The sequence below is a fragment of the Homo sapiens genome, chromosome 14 (assembly GCF_000001405.40).
Source record: "Homo sapiens chromosome 14, GRCh38.p14 Primary Assembly".
Classification (NCBI taxonomy): Eukaryota; Metazoa; Chordata; class Mammalia; order Primates; family Hominidae; genus Homo; species Homo sapiens.
In genome coordinates this window covers 89,013,029-89,033,635 of record NC_000014.9, presented here as the reverse complement: position 1 = coordinate 89,033,635, position 20,607 = coordinate 89,013,029, and the positions used below count along the sequence as shown (strand labels likewise).

Genomic DNA, 20,607 nt, shown 5'->3' with positions numbered 1-20,607 from the left:
AAAATGTTGGTCCCTGTAGGAACGTGTGTGTGTGTGTGTGTGTGTGTGTGTGTGTGTGTGTGTATAAAATACAGCCCAGCAATTGCTATTTAGTTAAGACGTGGAGATCAGTTTGTGGAATAAATGAGATGCTTTTAGTTTTCTTTGTAGTCATAGCTTTGGGAGAAAAGCAGAAAGGAGAATAAAGAGAACCAAAAATTAAATGCCCCAAACTTCAAATGCCATCTTTATGATAACTTTTCCAAAGTCGGGTTTGATCAAATGTTATAATTCGAAGCTTTGTAAATGAAAATCTGAAAGCAGCTGATCTTACCCAAATCCTGCCCTGGGCTTTCTAGAGCTGAACTGCTCAGTAGAAATATAACATCACTTAAAAATATACTCAAGAGAAAAATACTAATCGGATACTTTACATTCTTTTTTTCTCATGAGTCTTTGACATCTGATATCTACTTTGCACTTACAGCAGTAAGTGCAATTCAGTTAAAAATTCAGTTCCTTGGTCTTGCCACATTTCAAACGCTCAACAGAGATGTAACTAGAAGCCTCTCTATTGGCCAGTGCAGAGATACAGGATAATGGACAGATTCACCTCTGTGAAGCCTTCACTCAAACAGAGATGATGACATTGTCATACAGGAAATTGACAATGTGGTTTTGTGTATCCAAGGATGATTTGACTCAATTTAAGCATTTATTGGGCACCTTGATAGGCTGAAGTAGGCATCACATCTTTCCCATCCTTAAACCTTCCTTTTGCGTTAATTTTTGTGTGTGTTGGTTTTTATCTTCCCAGGGTGGAGTGCATAAGGACCCAGTACATGTTGGGTGAATGCCCAGCCCCATGCGTTGGGGAATACAGAGAAAGCCTTGAGATTGACTCTGAACTTAAGGACTTGCCATCAGGAAGAAGAGGCTGTATCAACACAAAATGATCGGAGAACATCATGTTAAATATGCTGAAATGGAAGGGAGGTCAATGCCAGTTGTATTTACTAGAGATACATTCTAGGAAACAATGAGGTCCTGAAAGTCTGGCTTGGGTTTGGGCAGGGCCAGAAGCAAGTCACTGGGGATGGGGAAATGCACTCTGGGGGCCCAGTGAGCATCCACCCTCCTCCATACTCTAAGCCTGACGCAGGCCAGCATTTGCGTTGCTCTAAGGCCAGCCAAAAGTCCAAGCCATTGTGCCTCAAGGGCGACCAGATTCTCCTAATGTCTAAAAGCCTCCATTTCCCCTTTTTGTCTTTTAGACTTTCCTTTCCTCACCCCCTACGGTAGTCATCAGTGCTGTGTCCCGAGGATTTCTAGTCCCCCACCTTGTGGTAGGGTTGCACTTCCTGGTCCGCACGTGATGGGTGGGGCATGTGACTGGTTCTGACCAATGATAGAGTAGAAGTGAAGTGAGTCCTTCCGGGACACAGCATTTAACTGTCAGTGTGGGACCATCCCAGGCTCTTTCAAGAACTGGCTGGCTGGGCTTGATGGGTCACTCCTGTAATCCCAGCACTTTGGGAGGCCAAGACAGGCAGAGGGCAGATCACTTGAGGTCAGGAATTCAAGGCCAGCCTGGGCAACATGGTGAAACCCTGTCTCTACTAAAAATACAAAAAAAAAAAAAAAACAAAAAAAAAACTAGCTGGGCATGGTGGCGGGTGCCTGCAGTCCCAGCTACTCCTGAGGCTGAGGCAGGAGAATGGCGTGAACCCAGGAGGCAGAGCTTGCAGTAAGCAGAGATTGCGCCACTGCACTCCAGCCTGGGCGACAGAGCGAGACTCCATCTCAAAATTAATAAAAATAAAAATAAAATAAAATACAAAAATTAGCCAGGTGGCGTGATGGCAGGCGCCTGTAGTCCCTGCTACCCAGCAGGCTGAGGCAGGAGAATCGCTCGAACCTGGGAGGCAGAAGTTGCAGTGAGCTGAGACTGCGCCACTGCACTCCAGCCTGGGCGACAGACAGAGACTCGGTCTCAATAATAATAATAAAAACAAACAAAAACAACAACAAAAAAAAAAAAAGAAAAAAGAAAAAAAGAACTGGCTTGAGGTGGTTCAAGCCAGTTCTTGAAGTAACTGCAATGATTAGAGCCTTTCTGCCCATGCAAAATGGACGTCTTGGGAGTCAGGAACAACACATCATTGTTGCTTTACAGTATCTCATTCCTGAGATGTGACTGAGCCCATCCTCGCTGATATAGCCCCTCCGTCCAGAAAGCACATACTCTTCTTGGGGTGGGTGTGTTTGGAAGAGGGTCGGGAAAGTAATGTCTCTCAACAGACATTCAGAATCAAGGAATGCCTTTCCCCTCTGCTAAGAGGACCCCCCTCCATGGTCATCAGAGATGTTAGTGGCCCCTTCCCAGAAATGGAGGCTTAGGACAAACCTACCTCAGTGCTCCTGCTGCTGTTCTGCCCATCCCAGGGAAGGCAGGCAGAGCCACTGGGAGGCAAAATGGGAAGGAGATGCAGAGACCTGTCCCAGAGAGAGAGCAAGAAGAGGACAGCGGTCTGGCCCACTGGTGGGAAGAAAACTAAAGGCTTGGAGCCAATGAGTGTCTTGATTGATTATGAACCTGCTGCCCAGACTTCCCTCTCCCCTGGCAGCCCTAAAGTTGCCTCCCAGGCACCCCCCTTCCTTTGCTTCACCCCTTCCAGACTGTCCTCCAGTCTGATTTTTACCTCGACAGGTATTGTACATTCAGTCAGCGACAGGTCTTATACACTCTCACATTCAGTTAATAAGCATGCACTGAAGGCCTGCCTCCTATGCGCTCATCTATAGGATAAATAACAGCAGGGCATGTAGTCCTGCCCCTAAAGCGTTCCATCTGTTGGAGGGGAGAGACAAGGAAAGCTAAAATTCCTGAAATCAGTTTTATGTGCCAGGATAGACAGGCAGAGGGGTTAGAGGAGTCCTTCACCCAGCCTGAGAAGTCAAGGAGGGCTTCCCAGCAGTGGTTGAGACAACAGCTGCTGGGCAGAGTTCAGGGAGAGACACTCCAGGTGAACACAGCAAGGAGAGTAAATGTGCAAAGGAATGAAGCTGAGAAAGCTGAGCTGGGCCCGTTTGGAGAGTGTGACGTGGCTGGGATGAGTGGCACAGGAGGTGTGTGGGTACACAGTCAGATATGAGGCTGGAAGGGAGGGAGCATGGCCAGGTCACCAATGGCCTGGCGGTCACCGTGGCAATGGTGATGCACAGAAGCCAGTGAAGAGCTGTTGCAGAGATTTAAGTAAAGGGATCCCTGAATCAGCCTTGCATGTAGTTGGGGAGGGGAAAGAAGTTAGGTGTGATCTGGCCAGGCAGGAAGAGACTTTTTGTGTGTATTTGTGTGTTTGGGTGTTTGTTGGTGTTAAGCAGAACTCTCTGACAGCACAGGTGCTATGAAAAAGACGGGCTCTGGAACAAAGCACAGAATGAGGGAGCAGGGCAGTGGATGACAGAATTTTTTTTACAAATTGGTTTGCAATTCAATTTTGTGCACGTGACTTTTTGTCTGGATGAGGGGCCAGGGAGCAGAGAGCAGGTGGGATGGTGAAGGGAGAGAACCACAAGACACACGAGCCTAAAGAGACAGAGGCCAGCTAAGGTGCAGGCACATAACTAATAAATAGCCTGAAGTGAGGAAGGCTGAAGGGCTCTGAAGATACGGACGTCCACTGTGAAATTTAAAAATGATCAGCGGCACTGCACTGCAGTGTAACCCCACTCCCAGTCCACTGCCCACCAATCCTCACCAGATGTACCTTCCCTTCTGTGTTGATATGGGTCAGAAAGAGGGAACAATCATGAAGCATGAGATGCAAAGTGGAGCCAGAGAAGTCAGGAGAAGTAAGAAATGGGGGTCTGGGGTGATAAGAATCAAGGAAGGTCCCACCACTGAGGACTTTTGGAGATGGAGCAGGGTTTCTATCCCATGTTCAATGGGGCTCAAGCCAAATTCCTTTAAAGTAATAAAGGAAATAATGAGCTTGGAGGTCAATAGCCACTTAGGCTATAATAATACTCTGGGAAAATACAAGGTAAAATATTGTCTACATTTACTTTTAAACAGTATAGATATAGGTGGTATATATGTATGTAAGTTAACTTTAAGTGATACACAGGGCAGCAAGGTGGAGCAATTAGTAAACATAGGAAGACCCAGGCTTCAAAAATTGCTTTCCAAGTCTTCCCCAGAGGGTTTGTTCATTAAGAACTACGAAAAAGATTTTTTTGTTGTTGTTGATGGTGAAATGGGTGGTGCTAATGGGTAGTGGCTAGAAAGATACACACAGAGATATCTCCATGCTTGCAAGAAAGTAGCATGGGAATCTAGTGCCCTAGGTTTACAACTGTGGTCCTATTCTCTCCTCTTCCCCCAGGGTCCTCCCCACAACACACTCAACAGAGGATTCTGTTACCTGATCAGATACCCGTTAGTTGATTCTGCTATCAGAATATTGTTGCATTTGCTTCAGATGAACCTAAATGAGAATATGCGCTGTAACAAAAGCACAAGTTCCCCAACCAAGTACTGTATAATACAGAAGTTTAAAGAAGATGGTTTGTTTCTCTCTTAAATAAGCATCTCTAGGTGAGAGATCCTGGTTGATGGAGCAGCTCTGCTCCATGCAATGATTCAGGGATCCAGGTTCCTTCCAGCTTGTTGCCCTAGTCTGCAGGGTCAGAGCTGAATTGTGACCTCTTGTCTGCAGGGTTGTTGCCCTTGTCTGCAGGGTCAGAGCTGAACTGTGAGCATTTTCCTACTTGCTGGAAGGGAAAAGAAGGAAACTCAGGAGCACTCACGAAACTCAGGAGCTTACATTTTAAGTTGAAGTACAAGTTTTAAGTTGTCTTTTAAGTCGACTAAGCTAGGCTATCTCCCAGAAGATCACCTGGGATTTGCATATATCCCTTCTGTTCACATCCCATTGACTCAAACTTCACTAGAGATCCACCCTGGGAGGAAGAAGGTGGCTCAACAGCATCCGCCTTAGATTCTATCACCATGACATGAAAGAGCAGGGGTTAGGGTGGTGGTGGTGGTGGTGGTGGAAGGGAGGAGTAGATTTGGAGCACTCTGCCTCAGAACTACAAGAACAGGCTGAATCTAGTTTTTGTGTCTGCTTATTAATAGCTATTGTATGTATGACAGAATTTGGTCTCAGAATTGCTTTCATGATAACACACGTGATGGGGACTTGGTCACTCTCAGCATGGAGTGGTCGGAATCACCAGGAGCTTGTTAGAAATGCCAGCGTCAGGCCCACTGAGTCAGAATCTGCTCTTCAGCACATGCCCAGGCTATCCGTGGGGAATCACCGTCTTCCCCATCTTTATCTGGTCTTGACTGTGTCCTCTTACATGGACAACTTTCCGTTGACTTCCATGGCTAGAAGAGCCCAGCCAGCACCTATGAAGTTGTTTGTCAAACTGACTAGGGACCCACTAGTGAGTAGTGAGATTATTTTAGCACCCAGCACTGAAAGGTAGAAAAGACACAGTACAGAATCAAAAAAGAAAACAGAGTGCATCACACTAATTAAGGTTAAGTGTCGTTTTCAGTTCTATATAGGTGTGTGTGTGTGTGTGTGTGTGTGTGTGTGTGTGTGCGCGCGCGCGCGGACAGGGACGTAAACAGACATCTCACTGTAGGTCACTGTCAAAAACCGGTAAGGACTGTGAATGCCACGGAGATAGAGGCTGTGACCGAGTTTGCAGAGCTGGGACACACAGCCCTGGGGTTGAACACCGCCTCTCAACAGTGTGGCCTCCGCCAATACCGAGCCTCATTTCCTAGCTTGCAGAACGGATTAACTCGGACCTGCCGGGTGTTGTGGCGGCTACTGGGACCGGCTGGGAATGAATCCCTGTGGCTCCTTCCCTTCCCCTTAGTCGCGCCCCTTTCTTCTTACGGACAGGAGAGTGGACTAAATGCAGATTCCCAATTCTTCGGCCTCAGTTTCCCTAAGGATCTCATGTGAGCGTTCAGGGTCCGCGTCGGCGATGCGTCCACCAGGCACGGGTCCCGCGGGGAGGGGAATGACCTACACTTGGCCTCGCGACCCTGCGGGCGCCCGGGTTCCAGGATGAGCCCCGGGCGTGGCTGGGGAGTGCGCGCGTCCCGGCTCCACCCCACCCCGGGCACCCCTGGCCCCCAGTCTCCGCCAGCGGGCGGTGCGGCAGCGCCACCGTGTGGCCGCGCGACATCAAAGCGCCGCGCCTCTGCCCGCTGGCGGGTCCCGCGCCGCGGAGCCGGAGAGCGACTTCCCCGGAGCTAGGGCGGTGCAGGAGGGCATCTGGTCCAGGTCCCCCGACACACCTCAGGATTTTCTTGCACTCCCCCCGCCCCCCGGCGGGGCTGCCAGCGTCACCAGTTACGAGTGGACGGAGCGGAGGCAGTGCCTCCCTGCCCTCGGTGGAGGGCGGGGCCGAGGGCACCTCGGCCGGGCCAGGCCTTCCCCGCCCGTCGCATCGTCCCATTCCGAGGTCCGGGTTCTGCGTCTACTCTTGGATCCGGCAGGTGCGGGAGGAATAATGGGCAGCACCCGAGGAGGGTGCCCAGACGAACGTGGATAACGGAGACGGGCAGCAGAGAGCTTCCCGAGCTCCTGTACCCAGGCCTTGTCTTTGGGCAACAACTGCCTCGCAGGTCCCAGAGTGGCCTCAGGTCCCCGGGTCGCGATTCCAGAAATCATCTCCGGGGGCCCAGCACGGACACGCTCCAGACCCGTGAGTTCCCCAGCGCCGTGCCGGGAGGTCAGGGGCGCTGAAAGAAGGAAGAATTCAGCCACCTCTCAGCATCCCTGTTACCTCGAGGACGCGCCTCTCCGCCAACCCCATCGTGGGCTCTTGCTCGCTGAGGCTCACCCTGGGTCAGGCACTGCGCTGACCCCCTCGGAAAAGAACCTTATGAGCATTTGACAATTTAGAGAGGAGTAAAATGAGGCAGAAGAGACTGAGTAATTTGCCAAGGTCACCGATTAATAAGTAACAGACGGGAACACAAGTCTATCTCTCAAGCCCATCGCCGATGGTTGAGACACAGCCTTCGGGTCTCTGTTGCTTCTCCACCCCCAGCCTTCTCCGAGGCGAGCTTATTTATTTATTTATTTTTATTTTTTGAGACGGAGTCTTATTCTGTCGCCGAGGCTGGAGTGCAGTGGCGCGATCTCGGCTCACTGCAACCCCCGCCTCCCAGGTTCAAGCGATTCTCCCGCTTCAGCCTCCCGAGTAGCTGGGATTACAGGTGCGCACCACCAGGCCCGGCTAATTTTTGTATTTTTAGTAGAGACGGGGTTTCACCATCTTGGGCAGGCTGGTCTTGAACCCCTAACCCCGTGACCCACCTGGCCTCTCAAAGTGCTGGGATTACAGGCGTGAGCCATCGCGCCAGGCCAAGGAGCTTTTATTGAGCGGAGTCGGGGAAGGCTGGGGATTTGGGAAGAGAACTCACATCTAACCAGAGCATGGGACTTCCCACTGCGCCCTGTGGCCGCCACGCCCAGGCAGGAGCTCCAGGCTGCATCCCTGTCTGTAAAATAGGAACGCAGGAGGGTTCCTGCCGCCTGTCTGTGACGCACGTCCCCTTCCTGCAGCCTCCCATCTTGACAATTTCAACTCTCTCACACGGAGGAAGACAGGCAGGAGAGGTTTCCATCGAGAGCCTGACTTTAATTATCCTGCGGGCTGGGAGGATTCTGGGATTGCCCATGGGGATAGTGTTCATGATTAAATCCACTTAATCTGGTGCAAGTTACTTCCAACTTTCTGAATCAGCTCTCTTGTAATTACTAATAACAGCGGATGACTTTTAAAGCACTCATCAAGTCTAAGCAGAATTCAAGATGAACAAATTTAGTGTTTACAAAAATATTGCATGTGGTAACATTAGACTCGTTGTCCATATAAGGAAATTGAAACACAGGGAAGTTAAGTAAGCACAGAGAGCCAGTGGCAAAGCCAGGAGTCACACCCAACCATCCAGGCTCCAGAGACCCCTTTAGCCGCTATGCTGCTGATGAAGACAAGACACCCAGAGCCTCTCTCCAGGTTTTCTGGAGTGCAGAGAGAACAAAGATGCACCCTCAAGGAGACACCATTTTTGCAACCGTTGTATCATAGTCCTCAATTTGTAGAACTAGGAGATTTTCTTCATACTGTTCAAGAGAAAGAAAAAAGGAACTTAAAAAGTAACTCTCTTTTGTGACTGTTCCTGAGAGTACTCTAAGGGAGGAAGATGTTCTCTGTGCCTAGAAGTAATAACATTTCATCATACAAAGATATATAGAGACCAGTATAAAGTCCCTGTTATCACCTCCTAAACACTTCATTCTTTTTATTCCGCATGGAAATATGCTTATGTTTTGAGAAAAGATGCCCATCTTTTTACAGCTTTTAAAACAGCAAAAGCAAAGACACCAAAATTTTGTGTATTTATGTGTCCCATAGCGTGAACGGTTAGGTTGTGTGGCAGATTGTATTTTCCAAGAGTGGCCACCACAATACATCACATTCCATATGCTCTTCTTAAAGTGTAACTGTGACATCCCTTGAACCTGGGTGGGTCTGGGCTGACTTCTTTGTATCCTCTCCCCTTGAACTTCAGTGAACTTTTGTGATCAGTTGATTGTGGCAGAAGTGATGATGAGATCATAAAAATGCCATGTGCATCTGCCTTGCTGTCTTGGGACACTTGCTCCTGGAACCCAGCCGCCATGCTGTGAGGAAGCCAAGCAGCCACATGCAGCAGCCACGAAGTAGGCGCTCTGGCCACAGTCCCAGCTTAGGTCCTAGCCAACAGCCAGCATTGATCCCCAGATATGGGAGCAAGTGTGTCCCCAGGCAATTCTGGCCTCCAGCTTTTCAGACACTCCAGCCAATGCCGTATGGAACTGAGATGAGCTGTTCCTGCCTAGCTCTGCCCAAATTGAAGATTCATGAGCAGAATAAGCAATTATTGTTGATTTAAGCCACTAAGGTTGGGAGGTTTATTACTTGGCAATAAGATGACCAGAACAGATTCTCCACACTTTTTTCACTATCGTGAACTGTTCTGCAGTGAGCTTCTTTGAGCATATTGCCTTCTGTACATACCTGATGGTTCCTCTAGGAAGACTTCTAGAAGCAGAATTGCTGAGCCACAGTATAAACCTCAAAGGGGATAGAGCAGTTAAGATGAATTAACAATATCTATGTCTAACAACATGGATCCATCTTGAAAACATGTTAACTGAAGTATATGCAAGGTATAAAATGATACAGAATAGTATTATTTATGTAAAATTCTAAGAACACTCAGAAAAAGGTTGTATTTTGTTTATGGAATCACCCATGTATGTAGTAAAGTATGCAAACATCTAGGAGAGTGATACACACAAATGGGTAAATGTGAAGCTTTAGCAGTGTCTGTAACATTTTATTACTTAAAAACAAAAACAACAAATACCTGAAGGTCCCAAGTAAATACCGCAGTGTTGACATCTGTGAAATCTAGGAGTGGGGATATATGAATATTGTTACTTAAAATTTTAACAAATATTTATTATATATGTTTGTATTAATATTATTTATAATTATGTGACTGTTTCATTATTTAAAAATGTAAAAAATCTCAACTCAAAATTATGATCCCAGTGATTTCTTTCTCTCGTGATTTTCTTGTTCCATATGTTTGGTCATATAACTGAATAACTGAGGCAAGACCTATGGCCTCTAATCAATTGTCTGATTATTCAATTCAAATACCTCCCCCTTTTCATTGTGCACCTTTCCTTCCCACCACACTCAAGGACTCTCCCTTCAAGAAACAATCATCACTCCTTTAACTTCCCTGCTTTTACGTGAGATAGTCCCTCTGCCTGGAGTAATAACCCCAGAGATTTGGTTTCACAGATTAGTCTCACACCTCAGGTCTCATTTGATCCTCACAAGCTCCCTGTGATAGCAACAACAGTTTCCCATGTAAGGAGTATGTTACATGTGCCTGGCATTCTGTCAAATGCTTTACGTGTGTTTTCTTTTTTAAGTAGTTTCTGCTATTCTTGTCCCTTTTTTGCAGACAAAGAAAAGTTGGCTTAAATGCTTGTTGCTATTATTATTGTGGTTTTTATTTTTATTTTCCCAAGATCTTGGTGGTTGAGCAAGACTCAGCCCCAGGCCTGTTGAAAGTCCACAGGCTTGGCCATTAAACGGTTCTGCGTACTGTGAGAAAGCTGTTTTTTGTTTGTTTGTTTTTAATTTCTCAAATTACAGATAAAGAAACAGATTTTAAGAGTGTTTCTCTCTCTGTCTGCCTGATGCATTATTAATTCTTGTAGATCCATTTGAACGTCACCCCATTTGGGAATCTCTCCTGCCAGTCCCTCCATCAGGGGTCCACACCACATGGCACATAAGGGTGTTTGCTCTCCTGCCTTCTCCTCCGCTGCAAGTAGATGACTGCTCAGAGGCAGAGCCTAGCCAATGTTCATTTGTATTCCCAGCACCTGGAATAGCACCGGATGAGTTAGGGACATCTAATCTTTTCAGAAATGAATCTTGATTGGCACCTGCCTTGCTTGAGTTCCTGAGCTACCTACATGCCTATTGACTCTCATGAGCAACTAATTCCACCTGTGCGCACAGGGGCACAGTTTGTACAAAATGGCCCACAGCTGTCCTGGTTATTTCTTGGAAACAAAACCAGGAAATCCCCACTCACCTTTCCTGAAGAAACCCAGCCCAAAGCACTGTCCAGCTGGAGAACTTAGATTCCCAGATGGATACTCTGAGTGCTCCATTAAGAGCAGTAATAATTGAACAACAGTGAATGTGTATTGAGCGTCCTTGTACCAGGGACTGTGCTAAGTGATTTACATAGATCTGGTTTCGCAAATACAATGGATCATTGCTTTTTTTTTTCTCTTCAGTGAAAAATTCTGGTTTCTATGTTAGCGAGCAATGCCCTAGATCAGAATTTGGAGTGGGGAGGGTGTTGAAGGAGAGATAGGATGCCCTAACATGAAAGCTTTGTCATGTTACTATCACTGGTGAGAAGACTTCTGGCAGTGAAGCTTCTCTGAGCTGAGTGTGGCATTTGTCATGCCCCGGGGGGCATGCATGCCATCTAATAATGCCATCATGCCATACTTTGTCAATATCTCTCTTCAAGCTGCATTAGGGAGTGACAGACAATATTGCGTGGGATGATCTGTGTTGTGACATTAGATACTGACAAAGTCTCTTTGATTAAGCTGGCGAATATGGCTTTCTCGTGAAGTTTTAAAAGAATATTGGGATGGCAGTGTTTCTTTTCTTTCAGTACCATGTTCAATTTACTCATTTAGACCCTCCTGTTGTGTTGTGGAAGCCATAAAGCCACACAGGGACAGCTGAAACCAGGGATCTGGGTGGCCCCTGGGCTCTGTGTTTCAGTTTCTTCTCTCATGAATGTGTTTGTGTCATTCTCTCCTGCTCAGCATCCTCCAAACATAGGAAATGTGGTGGTGTACAGGCCGGATAGCACGTCACATGTGACAGTTTTGCTAAAAGGTTGAGATTAGTCGTAAAGTGTCTTTATCAAGTCTGTTCTTTGTGACAAATAGTTTACCTGGTTCTGTGAAAGGCTCAAAGGTGTGGTTTCTGCCCTCAGAGAATTTATTCAGCTGGGCATGGTGGCTCGCACCTGTAATCCCAGCACGTCGGGGGCCAAGGCAGGCAGATCACTTGAGCTCAGGAGTTTGAGACCAGCTTGGGCAATATAATGAAACCCCACTTCTTTTTTTTTTATACTTTAAGTTCTAGGGTACATGTGCACAACATGCAGCTTTGTTACATATGTATACATGTGCCATGTTGGTGTGCTGCACCCATTAACTCATCGTTTACATTAGGTATATCTCCTAATGCTATCCCTCCCCACTCCCCCCACTCCACGACAGGCCCCAGTGTGTGATGTTCCCCTTCCTGTGTCCAAGTGTTCCCATTGTTCAATTCCCACCTATGAGTGAGAACATGCGGTGTTTGGTTTTCTGTCCTTGTGATAGTTTGCTCAGAGTGATGGGTGAAACCCCATTTCTACAAAAAAATACAAAAATATTGCCAGGTGTGGTGGTGTGCACCTGTGGTCCTAGCTACTTAGGAGGCTAAGTGGGGAGGATCACTTAAGCCCAGTAGGTGGAGGTTGCAGTGAGCTGAGATTGAGCCATTGCACTCCAGCCAGGGAGACAGAGTGAGACCCTGTCTCAAAGAAAAAAAAAATTACTCCTTGACTACCTAGGCAAAATAAAAACCTGTGAAACACTTACAAAACAATTGAGTTCAGTATATGTATGTCTTATGCCCAAGTTCAAATGCCCATGAGTAGAAATTAGAGGAAAATTATGGTCAAGATGAGAAAAAACCATCCCCCAAAAGGCAAAGAAAGAATCTGATCTGATTGCCATGAAAATTCAACTCTTGATCTCCCAGGACTTGATTATCCATGGTCATAGGAATCAGCCCTTGAATAGGACAGTTCAACTGGGGTCTAAGTGGAAGGCCAGCTGGAGTAAAAGGTGTGTGGGAAAGGGGTGCTCCTCTGCTCTTAGATGTCCCAAAGCCAGTGACTTGGCAGATCTTAGGTGTTCCTTGCTTGGGGCTAATGCTAAAATTAGTGAAGTGGCCCCAAGACTTTTTACTCCAAGCAAAACACTGGAGAGATTGTTAGGAAATTACACTGTTATTTCTACTGAAGAAGCATTTGACAAAATTCAACATCCTTTTATGATAAAAATGCTAAAAAAAAAAAAAAAAAACTAGGGATAGGAAGGAACTTTCTCAACCCTTTAAAAGATATCTATGAAAACCCCACAGCTAACATCATACGTAATAGTGAAAGACTGCTTTCCCCTTAAGACCAGGAACAGGAGAGGGATGTCCACTTTTGCCACTCCTATTCAACATTGTATTTGAGTTCTAGCCAGGGCAATTAGGTAAGAAAAAGAAATAAAAGGTATCCAGATTGGAAACAAAGAAGAAACATATGTAATGACCTTGTATACAGATAATCCTAAGGAATCCACTAAAAATTTATTAGAACAAACAAGTTCAGCAAAGTTTCAGAGTACAAAATCAATATACAAAAATCAATTGTATTTCCATATACTAGCATTGAACAATGAAAATAAAATTGAGAAAACAATTCCATTTCAATAGTGTAAAAAGGAATAAAATACTCAAAAATAAATGAAAGAAGTAGGTTGGGCAAGGTGGCTCACGCCTGTAATCCCAGCACTTTGGGAGGCTGAGGTGGGTGGATCACTTGAGGCCAGGAGTTCGAGACCAGCCTGGCCAACATGGCAAAACTCTGTCTCTACTAAAAAGACAAAAATTAGCAAGGTGTGGTAGCACACACCTGTAGTCCCAGCTACTCAGGAAGCTGAGGTGGGAGGATCGCTTGAACCCAGGAGGCAGAGGTTGCCATGAGCCGAGATGGCACCACTGCACTCCAGCCTGGGAGACAGAGTAAGACACTGTCTCAAAAAAAAAAAAAAAAAAAAAAAAAAAAAAAAAAAAAAAAAAAAGCAAACCTTATATCCAAAAGACTAAAAATCTAAAAATCATTGTTGGAAGAAATTGAAGGTCTAAATAAATAGAAGAATATCCCATGTTCATGGATTAGAAGAGTTAATATTACTCAGATAGCAATATTCCCTAAACTGATCTACAGATTGAACACATTCCCTATTAAAATCTCAGATGTCTTTTTGCAGATATTGACAAGCTGATACTAAAATTCTTAAGGAAGTGTAAGGGACTGAGAACAGCCAACACAATCTTGAAAAAGAAGAACGACATTGGAGGACTCACATTCTCTGATTTTAGAGCTAACTACAATTCTGCAGTGATCAAGAACATGTGGTACTGTCTATATGAGGACGGACAGACAGATCAGTGGAATGGAATTGAGGGTCCAGAAATAAACTCTCACATGCATGGTCAATTGATTTTCAAGATGAGTGCCTAGAAAATTCAATGGGGAAAGAGTATTCTTTTCAACGAATAGTGCTGGGACAACTGGAAGTCCACATGCAAAAGAATGAATCTGGACCCTTGCCTCACATTACATATAAACATGAACTCAAAATGGATCACAGACCTAACTGTGAGAAATAAAACTTTAATCTTAGAAGGCAAACCACTGTGATTTTTATTTTAAAATGATTCCTTAATTATGATACCAAAAGCACAGCAACAAACAGAAAAGGAGATTGTTTGGGCTTTGTCAAAATTAATATTCATGATTAAAAGGATACCATCAAGAAAGTGTAAAGACAACACACAGAATGGGAGAAAATATTTACAAATAATATATCAGTAAGGCACTTGTGTCTAAAATATATTTTAAAAACTCTTACAACTAAGTAATAAAAAGACAATTCAACTTAAAAATGGGCAAAGTTTCTGAAGAGAACTTTCTCCAAAGAAGATACACAAATGACCAACAGGCAAAAATATATTACCATCATTTATCATCAGGGAAATGCAAATTAAACTACAATGAGATAATACTTCACATTCACAGGATGGCTATAATAAAAAAAATCAGACAATAAAAAGTGTTGGAAAAGATGTAGAGAAATTGGAATTATCATACACTGCGGGCAGGAATGTAAAATGGTGCAGCTGGCGAGGCGCGGTGGCTCACGCCTGTAATCTCAGAGCTTTGGGAGACTGAGGAGGGTGAATTACCTGAAGTCAGGAGTTCAAGACCAGCCTGATCAACATGACGAAACCCCATCTCTATTAAAAACACAAAAATTAGCCAGGTGTGGTCGCACGCACCTGTAGTCCCAGCTACTCAGGAGGCTGAGGCAGGAGAATGGCTTAAACCCAGGAGGCGGAGGTTCCAGTGAGCTGAGATTGCACCACTGTACTCCATCCTGGAGGAAAGAGCAAGACTCTACTTCAAATAAATAAATAAATAAATGGTGCAGCCACTTTGGAAAAGTCTGGTAGTTTCTCAGTTAACCATTGTCACCAAGTTAACATATGACCCAACAATTTCACTCCTAGTTACATATCCAAGAAAAATGAAAAGATGTTCAGACAAAAGCTTGTACATGAATGTTCATAGTAGTTTTATTCATAAAACAGACACAAAGAAACAAACATCAATTGATGAATAGATAAATAAAATATGGCATGTTCATATGATGGAATATTAATTCAGACATAAAAAGAAATTAATTATTGATGCATGTCACAACATGGATGAACCTAGAAAACATGCCAAATGAAGGAAGCCAGACACAAAGGACCACATATCATATGATTTCATTTGTAGCAAATGTCCAGAAAAGGCCTGACTATAAAGACAGAAAGACTTGGGTTATACAATAACTAAACAGTAGAGGTTTTCTTTTGGGGAAGATGTTCTAAAATTGATTGTGGTAATGAATGTACAACTCTGTGAATATACTGAAAATCACTGAACTGTAAAATTTAAATTGGTGAATTGCATGGTGTGTGAATAAAGCTGCTAATAAAGAAATGCTAATACAGCTGTTAAAAATATCAGTGATCCTGCAAGAGTCTAAGAATAAAAGAAGCAATGGCAAATTAAATATACACCTTAATCATAAGACCCAGCATGGTTTCCGAAATGTTGCAAAATGTCATCTTAGAAATTAGGAAATTTGGTATGATACCCATTTTGTAAATGAAGAAATGAAGTCTCAGAGAGTTTAACAACTTGCCCAAGGTTACCCACTTAGTAAATGTCAAGGCCAGGACTCAGGTACGGGGCTGGCACTCCACTATAACAACTCCAGGAAAGGGAATTCTTCACTTCAAATGTAGTCTAAGGAAACTGAACAGCATTGATCTTTTTAAGGCTACGTGGAGAGTTTTGACATGGCACAATGGACCTGGGGGGCTTCTAAGAAAAGTTGTCCTCCTTTGCAGTCTGGACAGACACCTCTTCCTGCTTCGGTATTTGGTTCAGGATGAGTACAATGTATTGTGCAATGAGGCTGAAGCATCCCAGGCTTCTGCTCACATGGCCGGAGCCCAGCCAGCAAGTCCAGTCAGAGCGGGCATGAGAAGCTCTGAGCCCATCCACACACCTGGAGCAGAGTTTGTTTGCCTCATGTGGCTGTGCTCTACTTCCAATTCACTTACTTGGCTCCAATTCACAGCCAGCCTTGGTCACCTCATGATCCCCTTGCAATTGTCTTGTGTATTTATTTACCCTCTGGCTCTGGACATGCAGTGGTTTGAGCCAAGAACGTTGGTTTTGAGTTGGAGCAGTACTGTTGGTTCAGCATCAATAGTCAAGAGACCGTGGGTATCTCATAGCCTTTAACATTTTTTTTTTAATTTCAAGAGGTTCTTAATGTACTACAAGGCCAACTAAACCCTACACTGCCTTATCTATTAACTTTGTGTTTTATGAATTCTGTTTTATAGACTAGAATCTCAGGCACACAGACCTTGTGCCTTCCTCTATGTAACAAAGCAGCCACAAGTTCCGAAGCTCCTGTACTATTAACCCTACATTCCTCAGATCTAGGTCTTCTCCCTACCAACACAGTCTGAGCATGGGGTCAGGGCAATCCCCAGAGAGGGCATCCACTTGGGGAGTGTCTAAAGCTTCCAAAACACAATCTCCTATAGTCTCACTTTTAATTTTGATTTTCACCACAGTCCTGAGTTCATATCATTATTCCTATCTTGTGGATGAGGAAACTGAGGTTCAGAATGGTTTGGTGACTTGCTCAAGGTCACATGGCCAGAATTTGAACTCCAAAGTATTCAACTCTAGGCCGAGATTCTTTTCCTGCTACCCCTCTCCCAGTCTTGGTTTATGATCGGAGAAAATTATTAATATTTTCCCCCCACTGTAAATGTCCCCTGCAAATTCCCATTTGTAACCTGCAGAAATCAATCTGGCTTCAAAGGATACCTGTGGGAGCCTCCAAGGAGAAAGGTACTGTGATCTTGTGGGATTGTAGGAAAGACCTCAGTCTGTTCTTTGTTTGTGTTTTTTTTTTATTTATTTCAGATGGAGTCTCACTCTGTTGCCCAGACTGGAGTGCAGTACCACGATCTTGGCTTACTGCAAGCTCCACCTCCTGGGTTCATGCCATTCTCCTGCCTTAGCCTCCCAAGTAGCTGGGACTACAGGCGCCCGCCACTACGCCCAGCTGTTTTTTTTTGTATTTTTAGTAGAGACGGGGGTTTCACCATGTTAGCCAGGATGGTCTCGATCTTCTGACCTCGTGATCTACCTGCCTTGGCCTCCCAGAGTGCTGGGATTACAGGTGTGAGCCACTGCGCCCAGCCGGAAAGACCTCAGTCTTGGTGATGAGGGTTGAGGAGTTGGGGAGATAAGACCAGAAATTATGGGTGCCTTGGAAAGGCTAATAAAAGTCGCTTCTTGAAAACGAGCTCTTTCAAACCAATGTTTGCTCTCTTTTTTCATTAACTGCTTTTAAAAGTAATAAATACCCACTGTAAAAACTTAAAACCACTTGTATTCCATACCTCCATCTTCCTAGTCACCCTCCACAGAGGGAACAACTTGTCCTCTGTCTCCAGGAATATTGTAGGTCTATACAAATACACACACACACACACACACACACACACACACACACACACTCCTCTTGTTTACACACATGAGAATTACTCTGCATACTGTCTATGACCTTATTTTATTCCCTTATCTTAAAGGCTTCCACATTAACTTACACAGATCTATCTCATTCTCTTCTATAATTGCACAGCATTTTATGATATGGATGTTCCTTAATTTGTCCAACCAGCCCTCATAGCTGGGGCCATGCAGTTTGTTTAGAAAATTGGGCTGTTATAACAACCCTAGAAAAAAAATCCTTACACATCCATTTTCAAAAACATCTCCATGATGAATTCTTAGAAGCTGAATCGATGAATTCCTAGAAGAAACTGCTGAATGCAAGAGAAAATATATTTTACTCTTGATAGAGACTGCCAAGTTGTCCGGCATCAATTTGAACTCCTACCACCAGACTGAGAGTGACTGCTTCCCCTAATCAATAAGTGGGAAATAACTCTTCAACCCCTAACAGGAAGCATCATTCGCTGAATAGTGACCTCCAAAGATACCAGATCCTAAACTCTGGAACCTCTCAATGTTACATTACATAAACTAAGGGTTTTTGCAGATGTGAATAAATTGGGAATTTTGAGATGGGGAAATTATTTGAGTAGGCCCAATGTAATCACTAGTGTCCACATAAGAGGCAGACAGAGGGAGATGTGACTACTGACAGAAGAGGAAAAAGCCATGTGATGAGGGCAAAAGGAAGGAATCGGAGAGAGAAGATGTCACATTGCTGGCTTTGAAGGTGGTAAAAGGGGCCATGAGCCAAGGAATGCTGCTCAAGAAGTTGGAAAGATATAGAAAAAGATTCTCCCCTAGGACCTCCAGAGGGAGCACAGCTCTGCAAAACTCACACCTTGATCTTAGCCCAGTAGGAATGTTTTGGATTTCTGGCCTCTAGAGCTTTAAAAGGATACATTTCTGTTGTTTTAAGCCACCAAGTTTGTGATAATTTGTTATGGCAGCAATAGGTACAAACACAAAAGGATAGGTGGGAGGAAGACTGTTGTCTGCAGTCCCCACCCAAACTGCCTCAATCATCTAAAGCAATTCCCTTGAGGCCCCGGCCCTGTGTCCAACACCCAGCAAGATAAAAGCCTTTCTGCTTTTTGGACCCATACTCTTGGGAAAGTGGCTTAAGCTACCATGGATTGCAAGCAGTGTATTAAACTATTCCTGCAACACACACAGATCTCCTTGAGAAGATAACAACAAATAACACTTTCTTCATCCCGCTGTGTTTCTGGCAGTCTAGTACCTCTTATAGATTTTTGCCTTTGGGGCCCTCATGTGTATATAAATATGGATTTTTTTTAGCACTAGATTTGTGACTTCCTGCAGCAAAGCAATACAGACCCACTTCCCCCCAAGGAGGATGTGGACGAGAGGTACTAACTGTCTGTAAATTAGGGATAGTTCCTCTATTTAGTCTTTGGGAGCTGAATAATCTTGTTCAACTGGAGTTCTCTAGGTCTCTGGGGCAAGGAAGGTAATCACCGTTCGTGAGGATTTATGTGGACTGGCTGGGAAGAGGTGTGAGTTGGGAGGAATCAAATCTGAAATTTGATACGTGCATTCAAAGGTTTAAATGGGGTCGTGAGGGCTCCCAGAGGAAAGGAAAGGAAGTAAATTGCTGGGCAAATAAACTCCATCTCAAATAAAGCCCTTGGGGCAGATGAACTGTGGAAGGTGGCTGTATTTTGCAAACAGATGGGGGCTGCTTGATTACAGTACACCTTGGCTGTATTTATACATCAGGAATAAAAACACATAGGCATGCACAGAAACACACCTCGCTCCCAGTCTCCTGGTTTTGGTATTTCAATCCCTGCTCTGGGCCAAGCAGGTGAGCGTTCAGGGGAGTTAGCTCCCTAAACCACCTGTTAAAATAATCCTGGGCTCCTCCACATCCCCCTCTCTGGCAAGCAGATCGGGCCATGCAGCACGATGACAGTCTAATTATCCCAACCATCAGAAACGTCTTCTGTGTCTTTAATCTACCTTGACAATGCGGTGGTTTGTCATTTCTAGGTCTCTTAATTGGCTACATGATTGACACAATGTGGGGGGCTTTTTATTTTAAGAATTGAGGAAAGCCTATGCTTCAAAATTAGCTCAGTTACATGATGCCAGAGACCTAGTTTGCACCCCACATGGGCCAGAATCTGATTTTTGCAATCACTCTGATCCTAGGTAGCTAGCAAGAATGACGGAGCCAGAAAACCCAAGCCACTTTCTATGTATATTATTTACCTTTCCCCAAATATTTCCAGAACCCTGGGTTGACCTGACATTCCCTTTTGAAAATGTTGAGATAAAGACCTGTTGAGTTGCTTGGACAGATGTGCCTTGATACCCTGTTTTGTCTGGACTTTGTATTATTCATCAGAACTGTTGCAGCTGCAAGTGACAGAAATCTAATTAATTTCTTTTTCAGTTCATATAACTTAAAAGTCCAAGAGTTGAACTGCTTGCAGTCCTACCTGGATTTGAGTACTTTAACGGTGTGGACAGGGCTCTGTCATTTTCATTCCAACTCTCAGTCCTGCCTTCCTTCCAGGAAGTTCTTCTTTCCATGAGGTGGGAAAAAAAGTTCTGGCAGCGTCAGGCTCCATGACCCTAATAATCCACCATCCTGGAGAAAGAACATAACCTCCTTCTCAGGGTTCCTATTAGCCTAGCATCCATGGAAGGCTCTGATTGGTCCTGCTTTGGTCCTGCGGTCTTCTCAATCATTGGAGGTCGGAGAATGGAGTTTTGTGATTGGCCAGGTCCCATTCATGTGACCAGGAGGCTGAAGAAGGCGCTGTGATTGGCAGTCCCACCAGCACCACGTGAAATAGGGGAAGTGCATTTCCCCAAGGACAGAGGGCGCCAGCCGACCAAGGAAACAGACATCCTCCACACACAAGAAAATTGAAAATATTTCAGATCAATTCCCCACCTCCCCCTGAACTTTACAGAAAAGTTGTAGGAACCTGATCAGCTACTAAAAGATGGGTTTTGAAGCCCTT

General features: G+C 44.7%; 1 long non-coding RNA gene across 1 annotated transcript, besides 2 other annotated features; it reads right to left on the bottom strand.

The window, feature by feature from the left end:
* Nucleotides 6,047–6,186: a silencer, noted in NCBI's record as "silent region_5996". NCBI's record gives its function as "represses an Ori minimal core promoter by ATAC-STARR-seq in GM12878 lymphoblastoid cells {active_cell/tissue: GM12878}" and the evidence as "EXISTENCE:reporter gene assay evidence [ECO:0000049][PMID:35858748]".
* Nucleotides 6,207–6,416: a silencer, noted in NCBI's record as "silent region_5995". NCBI's record gives its function as "represses an Ori minimal core promoter by ATAC-STARR-seq in GM12878 lymphoblastoid cells {active_cell/tissue: GM12878}" and the evidence as "EXISTENCE:reporter gene assay evidence [ECO:0000049][PMID:35858748]".
* LOC124903356 (uncharacterized) lies at nt 7,827–20,241 on the bottom strand. Its single transcript, XR_007064297.1, has 2 exons — nt 20,077–20,241; nt 7,827–8,144 (listed from the first exon to the last, which is right to left on the bottom strand). It is a non-coding gene; the product is annotated as an uncharacterized LOC124903356 (long non-coding RNA).
* Between the last annotated feature and the right edge of the window lie 366 nt (nt 20,242–20,607).